The sequence below is a fragment of the Homo sapiens genome, chromosome 15 (genome assembly GCF_000001405.40).
Source record: "Homo sapiens chromosome 15, GRCh38.p14 Primary Assembly".
NCBI lineage: Eukaryota > Metazoa > Chordata > Mammalia > Primates > Hominidae > Homo > Homo sapiens.
The window spans coordinates 44,595,646-44,615,624 of record NC_000015.10 but is presented as its reverse complement, the minus strand read 5'-3'; the positions used below and the strand labels follow the sequence as shown (position 1 = coordinate 44,615,624).

At 39.8% G+C, this 19,979-nt stretch overlaps 1 protein-coding gene across 9 annotated transcripts in view, besides 1 other annotated feature; it reads left to right on the top strand.

Moving 5' to 3' along the window:
* The window catches only part of SPG11 (SPG11 vesicle trafficking associated, spatacsin), a 100,967-nt gene that overhangs the window by 48,038 nt on the left and 32,950 nt on the right, over window positions 1–19,979 (top strand). For 6 of the 9 annotated variants that reach the window (NM_001411132.1, NM_001160227.2, NM_025137.4 and 3 more), the window contains exons 16-25: window positions 59–262; window positions 2,089–2,195; window positions 4,640–4,785; window positions 7,020–7,181; window positions 9,534–9,600; window positions 14,993–15,158; window positions 16,789–16,994; window positions 17,252–17,360; window positions 18,682–18,841; window positions 19,270–19,542. In NM_001411132.1, coding sequence (NP_001398061.1) covers window positions 59–262; window positions 2,089–2,195; window positions 4,640–4,785; window positions 7,020–7,181; window positions 9,534–9,600; window positions 14,993–15,158; window positions 16,789–16,994; window positions 17,252–17,360; window positions 18,682–18,841; window positions 19,270–19,542 — 1,600 coding nt within the window. Of the gene's footprint in view, window positions 1–58; window positions 263–2,088; window positions 2,196–4,639; window positions 4,786–7,019; window positions 7,182–9,533; window positions 9,601–14,992; window positions 15,159–16,788; window positions 16,995–17,251; window positions 17,361–18,681; window positions 18,842–19,269; window positions 19,566–19,979 lie in introns of those variants that run through there. The other 3 variants (XM_047433145.1, XM_047433146.1, XR_001751402.2) reach the window with 3 other exon arrangements.
* Window positions 19,277–19,426: an enhancer, noted in NCBI's record as "active region_9341". NCBI's record gives its function as "activates an Ori minimal core promoter by ATAC-STARR-seq in GM12878 lymphoblastoid cells {active_cell/tissue: GM12878}" and the evidence as "EXISTENCE:reporter gene assay evidence [ECO:0000049][PMID:35858748]".

Here is a 19,979-nt window from a genome sequence, read left to right as displayed (position 1 = left end):
TTGGTCTACTCTGAACATAGCAACTTTTTAACTTGACATCCTATAAATCTGTCCATAGGAATGGGGTTTTTTTGGCATCTGAACTGGAAGACTTTGAATGCTTCCTCCTAAGACTGAGCCGTATTGGAGGTGTAATACAGGATACCCTCCCTGTTCAAAACTACAAGACCAAAGAAGGTTGGGATTTCCATTCTCAATTCATTCTCTATTGTTTGGAGCACAGTCTGCAGCATCTTCTTTATGTCTACCTTGACTGTTACAAGTGAGTACTGAGAATGCATTTGTCCTTGAGCAGGTCTTCACATTTTCTCTTTGCATATGACTCCTGAATGTGACTTTTAGGAAAATAGTAAGCATTCACACGAGGAATACTGATCTTTTTGAGGTAGTTTTCTCCATCTCAACAGTTGGTACATCTTTGAGTTCAGTACTACATTCAGCAAAATGCTTATGTGTTTTTTGGTGAATTAATTCTGTAGTATCTCTGTTAACCTTTTAAATAACTTGACTTTAGAATACAATGAAAGAAATGCTTTAAAAGGTTTGAGAGGAAGATTCTAAAGTTTTACTTGGAGTTTTCTTTGATACTTTGATTACCAAGAGAATGCTAAGCAACTTTGATTTCATAGCAAACTGTATTTCACTTTCAAGGTATATTAGATATGCTCTAAAATTTATATTTCTATAGACACACACACGCACAGAGAAAGAGAGAGCAATACATTAGTATCTGTCTGCCTAAGATTAACCCGCAGAATCATATCTGTGGCCAGTGTTAATTGCTATTGGGTCAGTAATAACAATAACAATAGAAGTAGTCTTTAATATGTGAGTGTTTACAATGTTGGCACTAAGCTAAGTACTTTATATGCATTATCTCATTTAATCTTCACAAAAACTCTATGGGGTAGTTACTCCCATGTCCATTTTATGGATGAAGAAACAGGCTTTGAGAGAGACTAAGTATGTTACTTAAGGCACACAGCTAATAAGTGGAAGAGCTGATTTAATTCTACTTAATTTTTATTCTGGAGCCCACATTTGTGCACTCATAGGCAACATTTTTATTTTACTTATTTTGTGTAGTAAAGACTAGGAATTGGCCGGGCACGGTGGCTCACATCTCTAATCCCAGCACTTTGGGAGGCCAAGGCAGGAGAATCACTTTAGCCCAAAAGTTCAAGATCAGCCTGGGCAATGTAGTGGGTCTTCTTCTTTACAAAGAAGTAAATCAGCCAGGCATAGTGGCACACACCTGTAGTCCCAGGTACCTGGGAAGCTGAGGTGGGAGGATTACTTTGAGCCTAGGAGGTCCAGGCTGCAGTGAGCCATGTTTGCGCCACTGCACTCCAGCCTGGGCAATACAGTGAGACCCGGTCTCAAAAAAAACAGACTAGGAGTTCCAAGAGAAGTTGTATTTTTGGTATGTCATATCATTAGTCTTACTTAGAAATGTTGTCTCCATAGCTACTGGCAAGAGAACAGGTTTAAGAGCTGTATTTTCAAAGTATGTATTCTGAGCCATAATTCCTCAGTTGTAACCTCTCTGTAGTTGTGTAAGCTTTTTATTTCTTTTTTACTTTGAGACAGTCTCACTCTGTCACTTAGACTGGAGTGCAGTGGCACAATCATGGTTCATTGCAGCCTCGAACTCCTAGGCTCAAGCAATTCCCCCACCTCCGCCTCCCAAGTAACTGGAACTACAGGTGCACACCACCACACTTGGCTTGTAAGAGTTTTTTAAAAGCCTCTTATTAAGTTTGAATATGCTAAAAAGTTTTTGTTGTAAAAACCAATAAAATATGAAGTATCTTAAAGTACAAGGTATCTATTAATCTGATAAAGATTTGGATAAATTTCATCATGGTAGTGAACATATGATGTCTCTAAAATCTCTATCTCTAAAATTGTTTCCAGATCATGAAGAATATGTAAAATACAACACAAGAGTGGGAGTATTTTGTGTTATATTTACTTTTTAATTCCAAGATTCTTTTTTTAAATGCTAATCATCGCCTGAGCAAAATGGTTGTAATTGTCTTATCCTGTATGTTAATCAAAGAAGGTTTTTGTTTGTTTTATATACAGACTTAGTCCTGAAAATTGTCCCTTTTTGGAAAAAAAAGAGTTACATGAAGCACACCCTTGGTTTGAATTTTTAGTTCAGTGTCGACAAGTTGCCAGTAACTTAACAGGTATGGGTATACTGTATTAAACACAGAAACTTGCTTTGGATCAGTCACTGGTCTGTTGAATGGTATTAAACTTGTGAACTCTTTTAAATAAATTATTTGGCTGTGGTCAGCTATCTGAATGTAATCTAGGCTCACACTTGAGGTAAGAAGCAGAAGGAAGGCCAAAAAGGTTAGCCATCAGCCAGCCAAGAAAAGCTAGACCTGGAGCAAAGAGCTTCTGTGGTTTTGTCCCCTTCCCCTTAGCATCGTGCTCTAGAATTTCCCTTATCCCACCAGTTTGTCACAGGCTGAATTCCTGCTCTCTGGTAGACTGACACCCTTTTTCCATGAAGAAGTGGTCTGTCTTCCAGATCCCTGTTTTGAATTTTTGTAAGGAACTCCAAATGGAGTTAAAAGAAATCCATAGTATGTGTGAGATTGTTGTGTCCTCTGCAGTGGAGCTGCTGATGTAGAGGCTTACTCTGGTTGTAATCAGACAGAAAAGGCTTCTTACCCCTGAGGACTTAGCTGGTGTTATGCCAGAAATATGGGAAAGGGGACAGGCTGAATGACCACAGACAAGGAATGTCAGTAGTCTTTCAGTTGCATGTAATGTCCAGTTTCTCTCAAAATGCAGAATTTTTTCATAATGTGGGTTTTGTTTTTTGGTTTTGCATGCTGATTATGAAGTAATATATGTTCATTGTTAAAAAAAAAAATTAGAAGCCACAGACAACTATCAAGAAGGTAATACTGGCCAGGTGTGGTGGCTCACACCTGTAATCCCAGTGCTTTGGGAGGCAAAGTGGAAGGATCACTTGAGGATAGGAGTTCAAGACCAGCCTGGGCAACATAGCAAGACCCTGTCTCTACAAAAGATTTTTAAAAATTAGCTGTGGTGGCATGCTCCTGTAGTCCCAGCAACTTGGGAGGCTGAGATGGGAGGATCACTTGAGCCCAGGGATTAGAGATTGTGTCACTGCACTCCAGCCTAGTTGACAAAGCAAGACCCTGTCTCTTTTTTAAAAAATAATTAATTAATTAAAAAGTAATACCTCCATAGGTAGATAGCCTAGGTACATAGGAAAATAACCACCCATAGGTAACCACTGATAATATTTTAATGTATTTTGTTCCAGTTATCTTCACTGTACTTTTTAAAAACTTAGTCTCTATTGTATTTCATTCACCCAACAAATATTTATTGAGCTCCTACCTTGTGACAGACTATTGTTAAGTGCTAGTAGAACAACAAGAAACATCTATGTTTTTATATACTGCTTTTTTGTGTGTAATATTATAACAGAATTTTCCCACATTCTTAAAGACAATGACCATTTTAGGCCAGGCGCAGTGGCTCATGCCTGTAATCCCAGCACTTTGAGAGGCCAAGGCGGGCAGATCACGAGGTCAGGAGATCGAGGCCATCCTGGCTAACACGGGGAAACCCCGTCTCTACTAAAAATACAAAAAAAAAATTAGCCCGGCTTGGTGGCGGGTGCCTGTAGTCCCGGCTACTTGGGAGGCTGAGGCAGGAGAATGGCATAAACTGGGGAGGTGGAGCTTGCAGTGAGCCAAGATAGCTCCACTCCAGCCTGGGTGAGAGAGTGAGACTCCATCTCAAAAAAAAAAAAAAAAAAAGACAGTGACCATTTTAAATGTTTACATAATATTTCATTGTATGGATATACCATTATTTAATTTTCTGTTCTCTCATTTTCCGACAATGAGGGCATTTTCCATTTTTTTCTATTATAAATAATAGTCTTGAATATATTTCAATATAAAACTGTCCTTATTTCAGATTATTTTCTTAGCACAGATAGGTTTTGGGATATAAAACTATTGGGTCAAAGGTTACACATGTTTAAGGTTCTTGCTGTAGGACCGGATTGCTTTCCAAGGGAGTTGTACAATTTTATTTTAAGTCCTAGTCTCTACTCACTGTGACCAGCTCTAATGCTTGATGATGAGTTTTTTTAAATTACTGCTAATTGGATAGGTAGTATATGGCATCTAATTAATTTGCATTTCTTTGTTGCTAGTGAATTATATAGTTTTATGTGTCAGGCATTTATATTTCCTCCTTCATAAATTGGTTATTTCTTTTGCCCATTTATCTGTTAGAGTCAGTATTTTTGGCATTGATTTGGATGAGCTCTTTGTTGAGAACAAACTCAGCAACTCTTTAGGTTGTCATTTGTTACAATTTTTCTCTCAGTTCATTGTTACCTTTTAATTTTCTTTGAACAGAAGTTTTTATTTTTATGTAGACAAATCTTTCATTTTTTCCCTCTGTGATGTTTTCCCATTGCTTTTAAATTTAGGAAGTCCTTTTTTTTTTTTTTTTTTTTTTTTTACTGGGGATAGAGTTAAAAATTTATGTTATTGTTCTCACATTTATGTAATCCTTAATTTAGTATTTATCCCTCTTAAGGAGAAAAACACTGTCTTTTATTTTCCAGATCCCAAACTGATCTTCCAGGCTAGCCTTGCAAATGCTCAGATTTTGATTCCCACCAATCAGGCCAGTGTAAGCAGTATGCTATTGGAAGGACATACCCTCCTGGCCCTTGCTACTACAATGTATTCTCCTGGGGGTGTCAGTCAGGTATGGATAGCACTTTATGACAAAATAGGACTGATTTTTAAATTTAGCAGAATTATCTATGGATTGTCTAGATCTCAGCTGATATTAAAATATAACTATATTCAAGTATTTCATTAGATTAAAGAGCAGAGGATAAGGCTGAATTTAAAAATTTTATATCTCGGCCCGGTGCAGTGGCTCACTCCTGTAATCCCAGCACTTTGGGAGGCCGAGGCAGGCGGATCACTTGAGGTCAGGAGTTCGAGACCAGCCTGGCCAACGTGGTGAAACACCATCTGTACTAAAAAAACTTCACTGGGCGTCTTGGCGCACGCCTGTAATCCCAGCTACTGGGGAGGCTGAGGCATGAGAATCACTTGAACCTGAGAGGCGGAGGTTGCAGTGAGCTGAGATTGTACCACTGCACTCCAGCCTGGGCAACAGAGCGGGACTCCGTCTCAAAAAAAAGAAAAGAAATTTATGTCATCTTCAGTTTAAAGTGAATGAAGCCAAGTGCGGTGGCTCACATTTGTAATTCCAGCCCTTTTGAGAGGCCAGGGTGGGTGGATCACTTGAGTACAGGAGTTTGAGACCAGCCTGGGCAACATGATGAAACCTCCATCTCCACAAAAAAAAAATTTAAAAATTAGCTGGGCATGACCGAGTGCGGTGGCTCACACCTGTAATCCCAGCACTTTGGGAGGCCAAGGCGAGTGGATCACTTGAAGTCAGGAGTTCAAAACCAGCCTGGCCAACATGCTGAAACCCCGTCTCTACTAAAAATACAAAAACTAGCCGGGCATGGTAGCGTACGCCTGTAATCCCAGCTACTCAGGAGGCAGAGGCAGAAGAATTGTTTGAACCCAGGGGGCAGAGGTTGCAGTGAGCTGAGATCGCGCCAGTGTACTCCAGCCTCTGTGACAGAGCAAGACTCCGTCTCAAAAAAAAAAAAAAAAAAAAAAAAATTAGCTGGGCATGGTGGCGTGCTCCTGTAGTCCCAGCTACTTGGGTGGCTGAGACACGATTACTTGAGCCTGGGAAGTCGAGGCTGCAGTGAGCCAAGATCATACCACTGCACTCCAGCCTGGGTGATAAAGTGAGACCTTGTCTCAAAAAAAAAAAAAAGCTGGGCGGGGGCAGGGAGGGGAATGAATATGTTATATAGAGATTATTTTTTCCCTTTAGTTTGTTTTCCAATACTCCAGATTTGTTTTCAGAATACAATTAGGATCTGCTTGCTTCTGGGAGTAAGAATACTTTAGATCTGTGGCTTAGTAATTATTGTCTACTATTTGCCCTCTTAGGTCAAAGGAAACTATAATCTTCAGCTACCCATATAAACTGTATTGAGGGACCTAGTGGAAATGTGCCCATCTTTGCTTTTTAGAAGTAGAGTGGCCTGTTTAGAGGGAAATTAAGAATGTTGTTTAAAGGCCGGGTGCGGTGGCTCATGCCTGTAATCCCAGCACGTTGGGAGGGTGAGGCGGGCGGATCACGAGGTCAGGAGATGGAGACCTAACATGGTGAAACCCCGTCTCTACTAAAAATACAAAAAAAAAAAATTAGCCGGGGGTGGTGGTGGGTGCCTGTAGTCCCAGCTACTCCAGAGGCTGAGGCAGGAGAATTGCTTGAACCCGGGAGGCGGAGCTTGCAGTGAGCCGAGATCGCGCCATTGCACTCCAGCCTGGGCCCACAGAGTGAGACTCCGTCTCAAAAAAAAAAGAATGTTGTTTAATATCTAATCTTCAAAAGTTTCTTAATGGTGCTAGCTTAACTTAGTACCACCTTTTTTAGATTGTTGCAGTATACCTTAAAACACGACTATTTAATCCTCTATTTTTAATCATCTGTCAGAAATTACAGTCATAGAATAACTTTAGAGTTGGGTAAGAAGTCATCTAGTTTATCAGTTTGTAAATATTTTAAAATATATATTATTGAATTAAATATTGGCAGAGCTGTTTTTCAAACAATTTCTTTACATACAGCTTGAAAATCACTGATCTAGCTGAACTTCCTAATTTTGCAGATGGGGAAACAAAGACCCGATATTAAATATCTAGCTAAGGTCACATAGCTAGTTTGTCTTAGAACCAGAACAAGAACTGTTAACTTATGACTACTTGTCTAATGCTATATTCACTACCACATACTCTTCTCAAGCTAATCTTGTTTCACAAGGTTCTTGTGAAAAAAAGAAACTTTGAGAAGAGAAAAATGCTACTGTCCAACCTGTTATCTGTTTTTTTACTTAGGTTGTTCAGAATGAAGAAAATGAAAACTGTTTGAAGAAAGTGGATCCCCAGCTATTGAAGATGGCATTAACTCCTTACCCCAAGCTAAAAACTGCTCTCTTCCCACAGTGCACTCCTCCTAGTGTCCTGCCATCTGATATTACAATCTACCACCTTATTCAGGTACAGTATTTAGGTGGCCAATATTTAGGTCTATCAGAGTTCAGCCAGGAAAACAGAAATCACTCTAGATCTTTCAACCGGAGGGCATTTAATGTAGGGAATTACTTACACAGCATGATAGCAGAATGGGGAAACCAAATGTGATAGTGAGACAACCCAAAAATAACAAAATAGAAAGCCATCATCACCCCTAAGGCTGCAAGAACAATGCAAAAAAGTGGTGTTACCAGAACCCAGAAGCTGGAGCCATCTCTGGGAGTTAAACTAACAACCAGGCTGCCTAATGGGAACCAGGAACATAGAGTATAGAGGTAGAAACTTAGCGGAGATGCCCCAGGAAAATGAAGGGGGAGAATATCTTGGCTTCTTCCCTCTTCCCATCTTTAGTCTCCCACAGTGTCTTTGTGGCTATATGTATCTGGTAGCCGAAGGGCAAAGGAGCTTGGGAAATGTAGTATCCTGCAATACTGAGCAGAGTGGGAAGGGTGGAGGTGGGTCAGACCAAACAGTTGACCAGCATACCTGTCTGCTGTTTTCATCAAAAGCTTCTCTATTCTGCCACTTTTAACTTCTAACTATCTCTTCTCAATGAATCAGGGATGTTTGTTTAAATCAGTGCTTTTTAATCTTTTTCAGAACGTCTAAGAATGTGAGAAAGCTATAAACCTTCTACTCAGAAAAATTACACATATGCATATAATTTTGCTTACATTTCAAAGTGATTCACAGACTTCCTGAAGCCTATTCAGGGATCCTCGGTTAAGAACACCTTCCTTTGCCCATTTCTCATTTCAAAAGGCTTTTCCTTTTTTCCCTGAATACACATATTCTCATAGTATCTTCAACTCAACGTAAGGTTTATAATTCTATAAAGGAGCCGGGTGCAGTGGCTCATGCCTGTAATCCCAACACTTTGGGAGGCCAAGGTGGGCGGGTCACTGAGTTCAAGACCTAGCCAACATAGTGAAACCCCATCTCTACTAAAAATATAACAATTAGCCAGGCATGGTGGCACGTGCCTATAGTCCCAGCTACTCTGGAGGCCGAGGTAGGAGAATGGCTTGAACCTGGGAGGCGAAAGTTGCAGTAAGCTGAGATCGCACCATTGCACTCTAGCCTGGGCAACAGAGCGAGACCCCGTCTCAAAAAAATAATAACTCTATAAAGGCACAAACTCCCTCTTACTCTAATGCAGAGACTTCTTAGGGTATTGACTGGTGCTACTTAAAAGTGTGGTCAGCACTTGTATACTGCTTGTTGCTGGAACGTGGTGAGATTAGTATGCACCAAAATATATATCTGCTGTGTCCCTAAGTACACTGTTTAGTTCAGTAGGGGTTTTTTTGTAGCAAGACTTTGAAGAAGGAAGCAGTATTCTGGATTTATACTGACAGAAGTGTCTTACCTTGTTTTAGACCAGCACTTTGAGTAGCACTGGTATAAATGATAAAGTGGATTATGTAAAAACATAGTTTTACTGGGAAAGTACAGGTCACAGATGCCCCTGTGTCTTGTTTTTTCCCAGGCAAAACAAACATAGTTTCACTACGTAAAGTAGTTTGGATCAGCTTGAAACACAAGTGGTTTCATGTTGCTCTTTGTTCTGTTTTCAAGTGGACTGATTTAATTTTTTTAGTGGTTATTTTAGGAAAAGTATTCCTTCTTTAATAGATCACAAAATCTTCCTTAGTTTTACATCAAAGCTACTCTATTTTGGGCCATCCAAATCCTGACTTTTTTTGTTCTGTTTTTTTCCTGTATTTTTCCCACGATCCGTTTATAGACTTTGCTAAACATTTGGCCTAGAAAAATTCCAAACAACCACTACTTGCTGCTGCCAGATCTTTTCTGATTGACTTCACCTTGGTCCGCTATTTTTTCTTTGTTGTTCATGTTGTTGCTCATCACATTCCTTCAACCATTTATCTAGTTTTTTCTTCTCTTTTCCTTTCCTTGCCTACCCTGTTCTTTGCTCATCTTATCATGTTTACCTGGTAACGTTTTCTAGTCTTTTAGCCCTCTTGCTTTTTGATTCCAAAAGCATTTCTGAAGCCCATTTTACTTTATAGTTGATGCTCCCTCTACCAAAAGAGTATAGCCTTTGCGGACATAGTTTGACATAAGGAGAGTCTTTAAAAGGAACATAGCCAGTTCTGTTTTAATTAAGATATAAAGATATGTCATAATTCTATTTTATTTTTAGCTGTGTTCAAAGAATTTATGTCCAGAATAAGCCTTAAATTGCCTTGGAAAAGGGGAGCAGACTACCTCTGAAGTCCTTTCATATAATTTTTTTTACCTATTTTATAATCAGTGAACTTCTAATTCTGTTTAACTTTTCCCCTTTTTCAGTCATTATCACCCTTTGATCCTAGCAGATTGTTTGGCTGGCAGTCTGCTAACACACTAGCTATAGGAGGTAAGTCATCATGGGTACTTCTTGAGACATGTTTTAGCAGTGTTAACTACAGAAGTTAATACATGTAATGCCAATCTAGTTTTCTCATTGATTTTTATTTTAAAAGTAAAGGTGTATTCCAAAGGAAAAATAGTTCGCAAAGACAGAATTGAAAACATATTGTGAGTTAAAAGTGAATGTATTAGGTTACTAGTGCTGTACTTGCTGAGAAATGTAATGTGTAACTATTTGCTTATATTTCTTCCTTTCAAAAAGTTATTCTTCATTTCCAGTATAGTATCATAAAAATTAAAAGCATAGGTGTCAGCATTAAACAAATCCTGGCCCTACCATGTAATTAATACCTGTATGACCTTGGTCATGTGATCTAACCTCTTTAATTCTCTATGAAATGAGGTTAATCACAGTGACCACCGAACACATTACTATGAGAATAAAAGGAGGCAAGGCATTTAAGTACCAGATTCACACACATCGTGATGTCCTATAAAGACCATAAGACTTTCTCTGATTTTTTTCTGTTCTTAAACTGTTTTTTCTATTTCTCTTTTATCTTTAATATCATGTTGCCTGTGGTGCCTCTGCCTATATTACCCTAAATTAGGCTTTGCATTAGTACTTTGTACATAGTATGTACCCAATATCTATTGACATACATAAAAATGAATTTCTTAATGTATGTGTTTTATAAGTTCGAATTTTGATATATAGAATTTACCTCGTGCCCAGAGTCCAATGCATGCCAAGCCTACAGTAGATGTTCAGTAAATATTTGTTGAGTGCTGAAAAAAGTAGTGCTTATTGCATTATCAAATAGAAATACTCTTTCTCAGTGAAGTTACTAGAGAGTAGACAAAATACCCTCTCCTCTTGTGATGGCTCCAACTCCATCACTTAGGTGGCATCTTGACCTGGCATTCTAACTCTTGGAAATTGAGCACTCTGCCAGGTAGAGTAGAGGCACAGAGAAGTTGAAAGCATGTTCCCTGCTGTTTTTAGAAGTTTAAAACATACTTGAGGAAATAAAGCACAAAGTAAATGAAACTGTTATGAAAATGTAATACTTTTTTTTTTTTTTTTTTTTTTTTTTTTTGGAGATGGAGTCTTGTTCCGCCCAGGCTGGAGTGCAGTGGCACGATCTCGATCTCGGCTCGCTGCAAGTTGTGCCTCCCGGGTTCATGCCATTCTCCTGCCTCAGCCTCCCGAGTAACTAGGATTACAGGTACCCACCACCACGCCTGGCTAATTTTTTGTATTTTTAGTAGAGGTGGGGTTTCACCGTGTTAGCCAGGATGGTCTCGATCTCCTGACCTCGTGATCCACCCACCTCGGCCTCCCAAAGTGCTGGGATTACAGGCGTGAGCCACCGCACCCAACCAATACATATTTATAAAATTGGAAACCTGTATTTAATTTGAATGTTGACTTCTTTTTTCTTATGGTTTTACCACTGAACAGGGATGTAAGAACACTGTGTGGTGACTTGGCTTCTGCACCAGGCCAGAGTAAAATTTCCCTCTAGAATGAATTTTCTCTTATACGCAGTCTCCACACTAAGCCCCAACGTGCTAAAAAATTATGGTCTTATTTGAATAAAAAACTCAAATGTGCTCATTTCAGTACTGTGTGCCTTACAAACGCTCAGCAAATATCTAATGAATGGCTTTATATGTAATTACAAGTTGTCAAAGTCGCTCTGTTCTCACAAGAATACAAATAGGGCATGTGACAGTTTTTTTAATCTCAAAGAGGGAATGTACTTTCAGGTAAGACCTTTGTAAGATGACAGATACCTCCAGGGTCTTCAAGCCTTTTTTTTTTTTTTAGGAATCAGGTCACAATGTGAAAAGTCCTTGGAATTCCATGAGAAAACACAACTTTATTTCAGAAATAAGCTTTGAACTTTGAAAACAAGAGCAGGTACACTGTTTTCCAGAACTAGTTTCTGGAACCAGATCACAGTGTTGTCTTTTTTAAAAAATAGGTAGTAAGTGGTTAAGAGACAATTGAATAGTACGTGACAGGAGTGACTATTTCTTTCTAACTGGAGTCAGCCCTCCATATCCTTGGGATCCACATCCAAGGATTCAACCAACCTCAGATGGGAAATATTCAAAAGAACAAACAAACAATTTAAAAAAAAGAAAAACAATAGAACAATTAAAAATAATACCAATTTAAAAATACAGTATAACAACTATCTACATGGCATTTACATTTATTGGGTATTATAAGTGATCTAGAGTAATCTAAAGTGTATGGGGAAATGTGCATAGGCTATATATAAATACTATGCTATTTTACAGGGACTTGAGCATCCTTCTGTGGATTTTGGTATCCAAGGGTTTCAGGAACCAATCCCCCATGGATACCAAGAGATGACTAGACTCATATCAAAATATCTTCTGACTTCAAATTTATCTAAAAAAAGACATTTTTGTTTGATATTTTCTTGGGTTTAGAGGAACTTTAAACTGAGCTATTCTGCTGGTCTTATTAATAGAAGGATGGTGCCATCTTTCTAAGATATTCATGCTCTATGAATACAACATCAGAAAGTAAGTGATAACAAATGGAGGTTATAGGAGGGTAATTAGTGTAGAGGGAAAAATGTTCTAAAATTACCTGTTGGAGGCCAGGTGCAGTGGCTCATGCCTGTAATCCTAACACTCAGGAAGCTGAGGTGGAAGGATTGCTTGAGGCGAGGAATTCAAGACCAGCTTGGACAACATAGCAAGACACTGTCTCTACAAAAAATTAGCCGGGTATAGAAGATAAGGGTCAAGAAGGTGAAAGAAAAATGTTAAAATTAGCCAGGCATAGTTGTGTGTGCCTACAGTGCTACAGGAGGCTGAGGCAAGAGGATTGCTTGAGTTAAGGAAGTCAAGGCTGCAGTGAGCTATGGTCATGCCACTGCACTCCAGCCTGGGCAACAGCAAGACCCTGTGTCCAAAAAAAAAAAAAAAAAAAATTGCCTGTTGGAGAAAGGTACAGTGAGTTGGCTTTGGTGAACAGAGGACTCATATAAATATGTTAAAAGGGATTTTATTGCATAATGACCTTTTGTGAATGAATTTAAAAGCTCCTTTTGCAGTTATTTAAAGACTTTACAACTATAGGGTTATTGGCTATTGCCTTTCTGAACTTAAAGGATCATCAAATACAGAATTAAAACCAGGATGGTTCAACATACACAAATTAATAAATGATACACCACATTAACAGAATGAAAGACAAAAACCAGGCCAGGCATGGTGACTCATGCCTATAATCCCAGCACTTTGGGAGGCCGAGGTGGGTAGATCACGAGGTCAGGAGATAGAGACCATCCTGGCTAACACGGTGAAACCCTGTCTCTACTAAAAAATACAAAAAAAAATTAGCCAGGTATTGTGGCAGGCGCCTGTAGTCCCACCTACTTGGGAGGCTGAGGCAGGAGAATGGCGTGAATACGGGAGGCGGAACTTGCAGTGAGCCAAGATCACGCTATTGCACTCCAGCCTGGGCAACAGAGCAAGACTCCATCTCAAAAAAAAAAAAAGACAAAAACCATATGATCATATCAATAGATGCAGAAAAAGCATTTAGGAAAATTCAACATCCTTTCATAATAAAAACTCTCAACAAATTAGGCATAGAAGGAATGCATCTCAACATTATAAAGGCCATGTATGACAGTCTCACAGCTAATATACTCAGCAGTGAAAAGTTGAAAGCTTTTCCTCTAAGATCAGAAATAAGACAAGGATGCCCACCCTTGCCACTTCTGTTCAACATAGTAGTTGAAGTCCTAGCCAGAGCATTTAAGCAAAAAAAAAGAAAGGCATCCAAATCAGAAAGAAAGAAGTGAAGTTGTCATTGTTTGCAGATGGCATGATTTTGTATATAGAAAATCCTAAAGACTCTACCAGTAAAACTGTTAGAACTAATAAACAAATCTAAGAAAGTTGCAGGATATTAAATCAACATACAAAAATCAGTGTTTCTATATACCAACAGCAAACTGTCTGAAAAAGATAATGAACAAAACTATCCCATTTCTATTTTTTAATAGAACACAAAATACTTCGGAATAAATTTAATCAAAGAGGTCAAAGATCTGTACATATTAAACTATCAAACATTGGTGAAAGAGGCTGGGTGGGCTGGGCGCGGTGGCTGGCTGGACACAGTGGCTCACGCTCATGCCTGTAATCGCAGCACTTTGGGAGGTCAAGGTGGGCAGATCACCCGAGGCCAGGAGTTCGAGACCAGCCTGGCCAACATGGCGAAACCCCGTCTCTACTGTAAGTACAAAAATTAGCTAGGTGTGGTGGCACGTGCCTCTAAGTCCTAGCTACTTAGGAGGCTAAGGCAGGAGAATCACTTGAACCCAGGAGGCGGAAGTTGCAGTGAGCTGAGATTGTGCCATGGCACTCCAGCCTAGACAGCCGAGCAAGATTCTATTTAAAAAAAAAAAAAAAAAAAGAAGAGGCTGGGCGCACGCATGTAATCCTAGCACTCTGGGAGGCCAAGGCAGGTGGATTGCTTGAGCTCAGGATTTTGAGACCAGCCTGGGCAACATGGTGAAATCTCATCTCTACCAAAAATACTAAAGAAAGCTGGGTGTGGTGGCATGCACCTGTGGTCCCAGCTACTTGGGAGGCTGAAGTGGGAGGATCACCTGAGCCCAGGAAGTGGAGATTGCAGTGAGCCAAGATTATGCCACTGCACTCCAGTCTGGGCGACAGAGCCAGACCCTGTCTTAAAAAAAAAAATAAAAAATCAATTATGTTGTATACTTTAAATATATACAATTCTTAAATAAGTTGCTCAAGGTCACGCAGCTAGTGGTGTCAAGACCAGGAATCTCACACTTTTTTTTGTTTTTTTGAAATGAAGTTTCACTCTTGTTGCCCAGGCTGGAGTGCAATGGCGCGATCTTGGCTCACCACAACCTCTGCCTCCCAGGTTCAAGTGATTCTCCTGCCTCAGTCTCCCAAGTAGCTGGGATTACAGGCATGCACCGCCACATCTGGCTAATTTTGTATTTTTAGTAGAGACGGGGTTTCTCCAACTTGGTCAGGCTGGTCTCAACTCTTGACCTCAGGTCATCCGCCTGCCTTAGTCTCCCAAAGTGCTGGGATTACAGGCGTGAGCCACCGTACCCGGCTGAAGCATCATTTCTTACCAGAGTTTTTATGCAACTTCTCAGGTACACATCTTTGTATAAAATGAAGGCTACCTCTATACACTGAAGTAAAATAAATCAGATTTTGGTAGATTCAAAGTGATACGTAGTGATGCAAAATAATTACAGCAACCAGTTTTATCATTAGAGAGTTCCATGTGCAAATCTGAAATTAATTATGGTGATATACAGATAATTAATATTGTTTTACTTTCCCCCTAGATGCATGGAGTCATCTCCCACATTTCTCTAGCCCTGACCTGGTTAATAAATATGCTATAGTGGAACGTCTGAATTTTGCTTATTATTTACATAATGGGCGGCCATCATTTGCATTTGGTACTTTTCTGGTCCAGGAATTAATCAAGAGCAAGACTCCCAAGCAGCTGTGAGTATTTAAAATATAATTTTGTCTGGGTACAGTGGTTCACACCTGTAATCCCAGCACTTTGGGAAGCAGGAGGATCACTTGAGCCCAGGAGTTCAAGGAAGCAGTGAGCTATGGTCATGCCACTGCACTCTAGCCTGGGTGACAGTGAGGCTCTGCCACTAAAACAAAAAAAGTAAAATAAAATATAATTTGTATTCTAAAAAAGGGCATATCTGTATAATGTTTTACATGTACATTGAAAAACATACTGGAAACATACCACAGTTAACAGTGATTACATTTGGATGGTGATTATTGTTGTTTTCATTTGTGCTTCCCTGTGTGTCCTAAGTTTTTGGCATTTAGTGTGTGTGATTTTTGTTAATTGGAAAAAACATAAATATGTTTTGAAAAATAATAAAATTTAAAATCATACAGGAGTTTGTCAAATATTAGCAGTTAAAGAGGGAATTCTAAGGGAGGGAGAACGTTAGGACAAATACCTAATGCATGCGGGGCTTAAAACCTAGATGACGGGTTGATAGGTGCCACAAACTGCCATGGCACATGTATACCTATGTAACCTGCATGTTCTGCACATGTATCCCAGAACTTTAAAAAAAGGGAATTATATGATGAGATGTGAATTCTATATTTAATGTCTTTAATAATTCAATTATTCATTTTTATAAGGCACAGAATTGAGAGGAGCATTTACTATAATGAACAGCTAAATATAGATTTACTTTATTGGTTTGTTTTATAATTAACAAAGTAATACCTTTTTTATGGTAAAGTATTCAAGTAGTTCAGAAAGGTGAAAATGAAAGATAGCCCTCAGCTTCCCATTCCACATGGTAAAAACATGGTTAATAATGTCTTGTGTGGGCTGAGCACGATGGCTCACACCTGTAATCCCAGCATTTTGGGAGGCCAAGGTGGGCGGATCACAACCTCAGGAGTTTGAGACCAGCCTGGCCAATATGGTGAAACCCTGTCTCTACTAAAAATACAAAAATTAGCCAGGCATGGTGGTGGGTGCCTGTAGTCCCAGCTACTCAGGAGGCTGAGGCAGGAGAATCGCTTGAACCCGGGAGGCAGAGGTTGAAGTGAGCCAAGAATCACACCACTGCACTCCAGTCTGGGCTACAAAACGAGACTCCATCTCAAAAAAATAATAATAAAAATAAAAAATAGTAATTTCTTGTGTCTTTCCCAAATTTTCTATTCCTATAAAAGGCCTATATGAGTTTTTTTAAATGTGCTTCATGATGTCAAACTTACATTTAAGTGGCATTGATATTCTTCGTAGTTTGTATACGTACTCATAATTGATAAGATCACAAGTTGGCAGTCTTTCAGAAGTTGTACTTCATGTCTTGATGAAGTTGGAAGCAAGAATAGTTTAGACTATGACTAAGCGTTTTAGAAAGTCAGCTTAAGGGAAGCGGGGGGCTCTTGGGCCAAAAGACAACTGAAAAGCTACCAGGAACCTAAACGGGTATGTGCAAGGGGCAAAAGGTAAGGGAGAGGAGGCCACAAATCACATGGCTGGCACTCCCTCTGTCACTGATTTAATTCCATTTGCTTTTCCTGGTGAGACATAATTTTCATGTGCTGATGTGATTTTGATTCCTTTCTTTTTCAGGATCCAGCAAGTAGGCAATGAAGCCTATGTTATAGGGCTCTCCTCCTTCCACATACCTTCAATAGGAGCTGCATGTGTTTGTTTCTTAGAATTGCTTGGCCTTGACAGCCTCAAGCTCAGAGTTGATATGAAAGTGGCCAATATAATTTTGAGCTACAAGTGCAGAAATGAAGATGCTCAGTACAGCTTTATCAGAGAGTCTGTAGGTACAGCACCTTTTATCTGGCCTGCTTTGTTTAGAGAAGGTGTGACGAGGTCTAAGGCATTGAATTGTGAGTGTTTGGGGAGAAAATGGTTATCTTCTTGGTTTTATCCTTTTCCTGCAGAGTGTGTGTTCTTTGTCTCACTTTCTTGGGCACTTTAATTGGGTTCTGAAATGGCCCTGAGCCACACTATTCAAACAGAAATGCTCAGGTTTTGACTTTTTCTCTTCACCATATTTTGTTGTTTATATTTCTTACAGCCGAAAAACTATCTAAACTAGCTGATGGTGAAAAGACAACCACAGAAGAATTGCTTGTTCTCTTAGAAGAAGGTACATGGAACAGCATTCAGCAACAGGAAATAAAGAGGTTTGTGAGTTGCAGTCTCAGCCTCTTTTCTAACAAGCTTATTGTGCCAACCTGTGTTTGCCTAGTTTTTCTTTGAACAACTCTGGTGTTTTCACTAAATCCCCCTAGACCTTATCTTCTTCTTTATCTAGCATGTAGCAGATACTCAGTAAATGAATAATGATTTTAATTGCATCTTGCCATCAGTGAAAAGAGGGTGAAGATAGCAATTCTCTCTTTAGAGATGGACTTACCAAGAGATGGAGAGCAGCTTTGTCTCCTCCACTGCCCTGCTAGTCAGAGAAGTCTTTTAAATGGTACATGTTGAAATGCCAGAAGATGTGGGTTCAGATGTCTTGGAGGATTGGAAAAAAATGAAGAAGAGGATGATGTAGGATGGGTCTTCCAAAATTTGACTTTAAGTCATGTCCTTACTTTTTTCATTTTATTATGTCAGTTGATAATGGAAGCTGAAGTGACCGTATGTAAAAGCACCTCCTTACACTTCATGCCTTCTTTATGCTGCCCCACTGGGGCTGACCTAACCACTCCAGACCCTGAGAACGCACCCTTTTTCTGTACATCCTATCACTGATTCTGTTCTTGGCAGAATCCTGCTTGCAGCAGGAACATGTACCCTACCCCTGGTGAGGAGGCCCAGGCACCCACCAGGCCTCTGAGTACTCTAAAGTGAATAGAGCAAGAGAAATAAGTGCTCAGAAAGTTTCTTGACTGACAACTTCCTCAGTTCTCCTAAGGATGCTACACAGCCAGTATAAATAGGTACTTGATTGATGACTTGGGGAAGGAATGAATTGTGCCAGTATGCTAAGCTAGCTATTCTGCCTTATGGGTGAAAAAGTCTACTGTTTTTGGCCAGGCACAGTGGCTCACACCTGTAATCCCAGCACTTCAGGAATGTGAGGCGGACGGATCACCTGAGGTTGGGAGTTCAAGACCAGCCTGACCAACATGGAGAAACCCCGTCTTTAGTAAAAATACAAAATTAGCCGGGTGTGGTGGCACATGCCTGTAATCCCAGCTACTCGGAGGCTGAGACAGGAGAACTGCTTGAACCCAGGAGGCGGAGGTTGCAGTGAGCTGAGATCGCACCATTGTACTCCAGCCTAGGCAACAAGAGCGAAACTCTGTCTCAAAAAAAAAAAAAAAAAAAAGAATCTACTTTTTTCAAAGTAGCCTAATAAATATTTAGTATTTGTTGGAGAATACACTGTGCTTTAATTTATATCATTTTTACTCATTTTCCAGTTCAAGCTAAAGCTATATTTTAATGAGTTTTTTGTTTTTTCTTGACCACCCCCACCTCTAATTCTGATTATAGGTTATCCAGTGAATCTAGCAGCCAATGGGCATTAGTGGTGCAGTTCTGCAGGCTACACAATATGAAACTAAGCATATCTTACCTTAGAGAATGTGCCAAAGCAAATGATTGGCTGCAGTTCATTATTCACAGCCAACTCCACAACTACCACCCAGCAGAGGTAAGCCACTAATTGTTAGCAGTCACTCAAAAGGAAATAGGAACACTTCTTAGAAGATAGCATTCTTTCTGTTGTGTAGACATGACATAGGCCTTTTTTTTTTTTTTTTTTTTTTTTTTTTTTGACCAGGATACGTACTGGATACATGGGCTTTTGTTTCATATGATACTATTATTTTTCCTAAGATTTCAGTGGGTTGGCATCAGACAAGGCACTAGTACTGAAGAGCTGAAAAGCTTTTGTGACTTCAGATTGAATATGAAAATTCATTAAAAGGCACCATACAGCTTTGTAAAATTACATAATAGTCACTCTGACTTAGTTCAGGGTGAGAAAGCATAATTTTGTCTATGCTTTTCTCTAACATTTTCAGCTCCAGCTGAAACTGAAAGTTGGGTTTCTGTTTAATCATCTGATATGCCTTCTAGGTGAAATCCCTTATCCAGTACTTCAGCCCAGTCATTCAAGACCACTTAAGGCTGGCTTTTGAGAACTTGCCCTCAGTGCCCACCTCCAAAATGGACAGCGATCAAGTCTGCAATAAGTGCCCCCAGGAACTTCAAGGAAGCAAACAAGAGATGACCGATTTATTTGAAATTCTGCTCCAATGCTCAGAGGAGCCAGACTCCTGGCACTGGCTTCTGGTTGAAGCAGTGAAACAACAGGCCCCTATCCTCAGTGTTCTGGCCTCATGTCTCCAGGTGAGGATCATGAGAAGCCTGAAGTAAGTACCCAGAGAACAATAGAATAAGTAATGAGGGACAGGAAAGGCTGATAATCAGAAGTGGGGTGATGATGACAGTGAGGTTCCAGCATGTGTTTCCAAGTTCACTGCAACATTTTGTGCTTCTCTAGCTTAGGCTCTGGGCCATTTGGTGTACTTTCTTGTGCCTTGACATTCAGTGAACTCAAGTGATCAGAGCCTTGGTTTCTGGTTGGCAGTCACAGAGAAAGACGCTTTGGTGGACTGACCACCACTGTTTCTTTAGTGCCCTCTTTAGCAGGGAAGAGGGACATTCCAGACAGTCCTTTAATCAGCAGATCAGTGGAGGGCAATCCTACTCTCTTATGATTAGTACTTCCCTGACTTTTGCATATACCCCCTTCTGTCTGCTTCTTGGTCTTGTGACCTGCAACA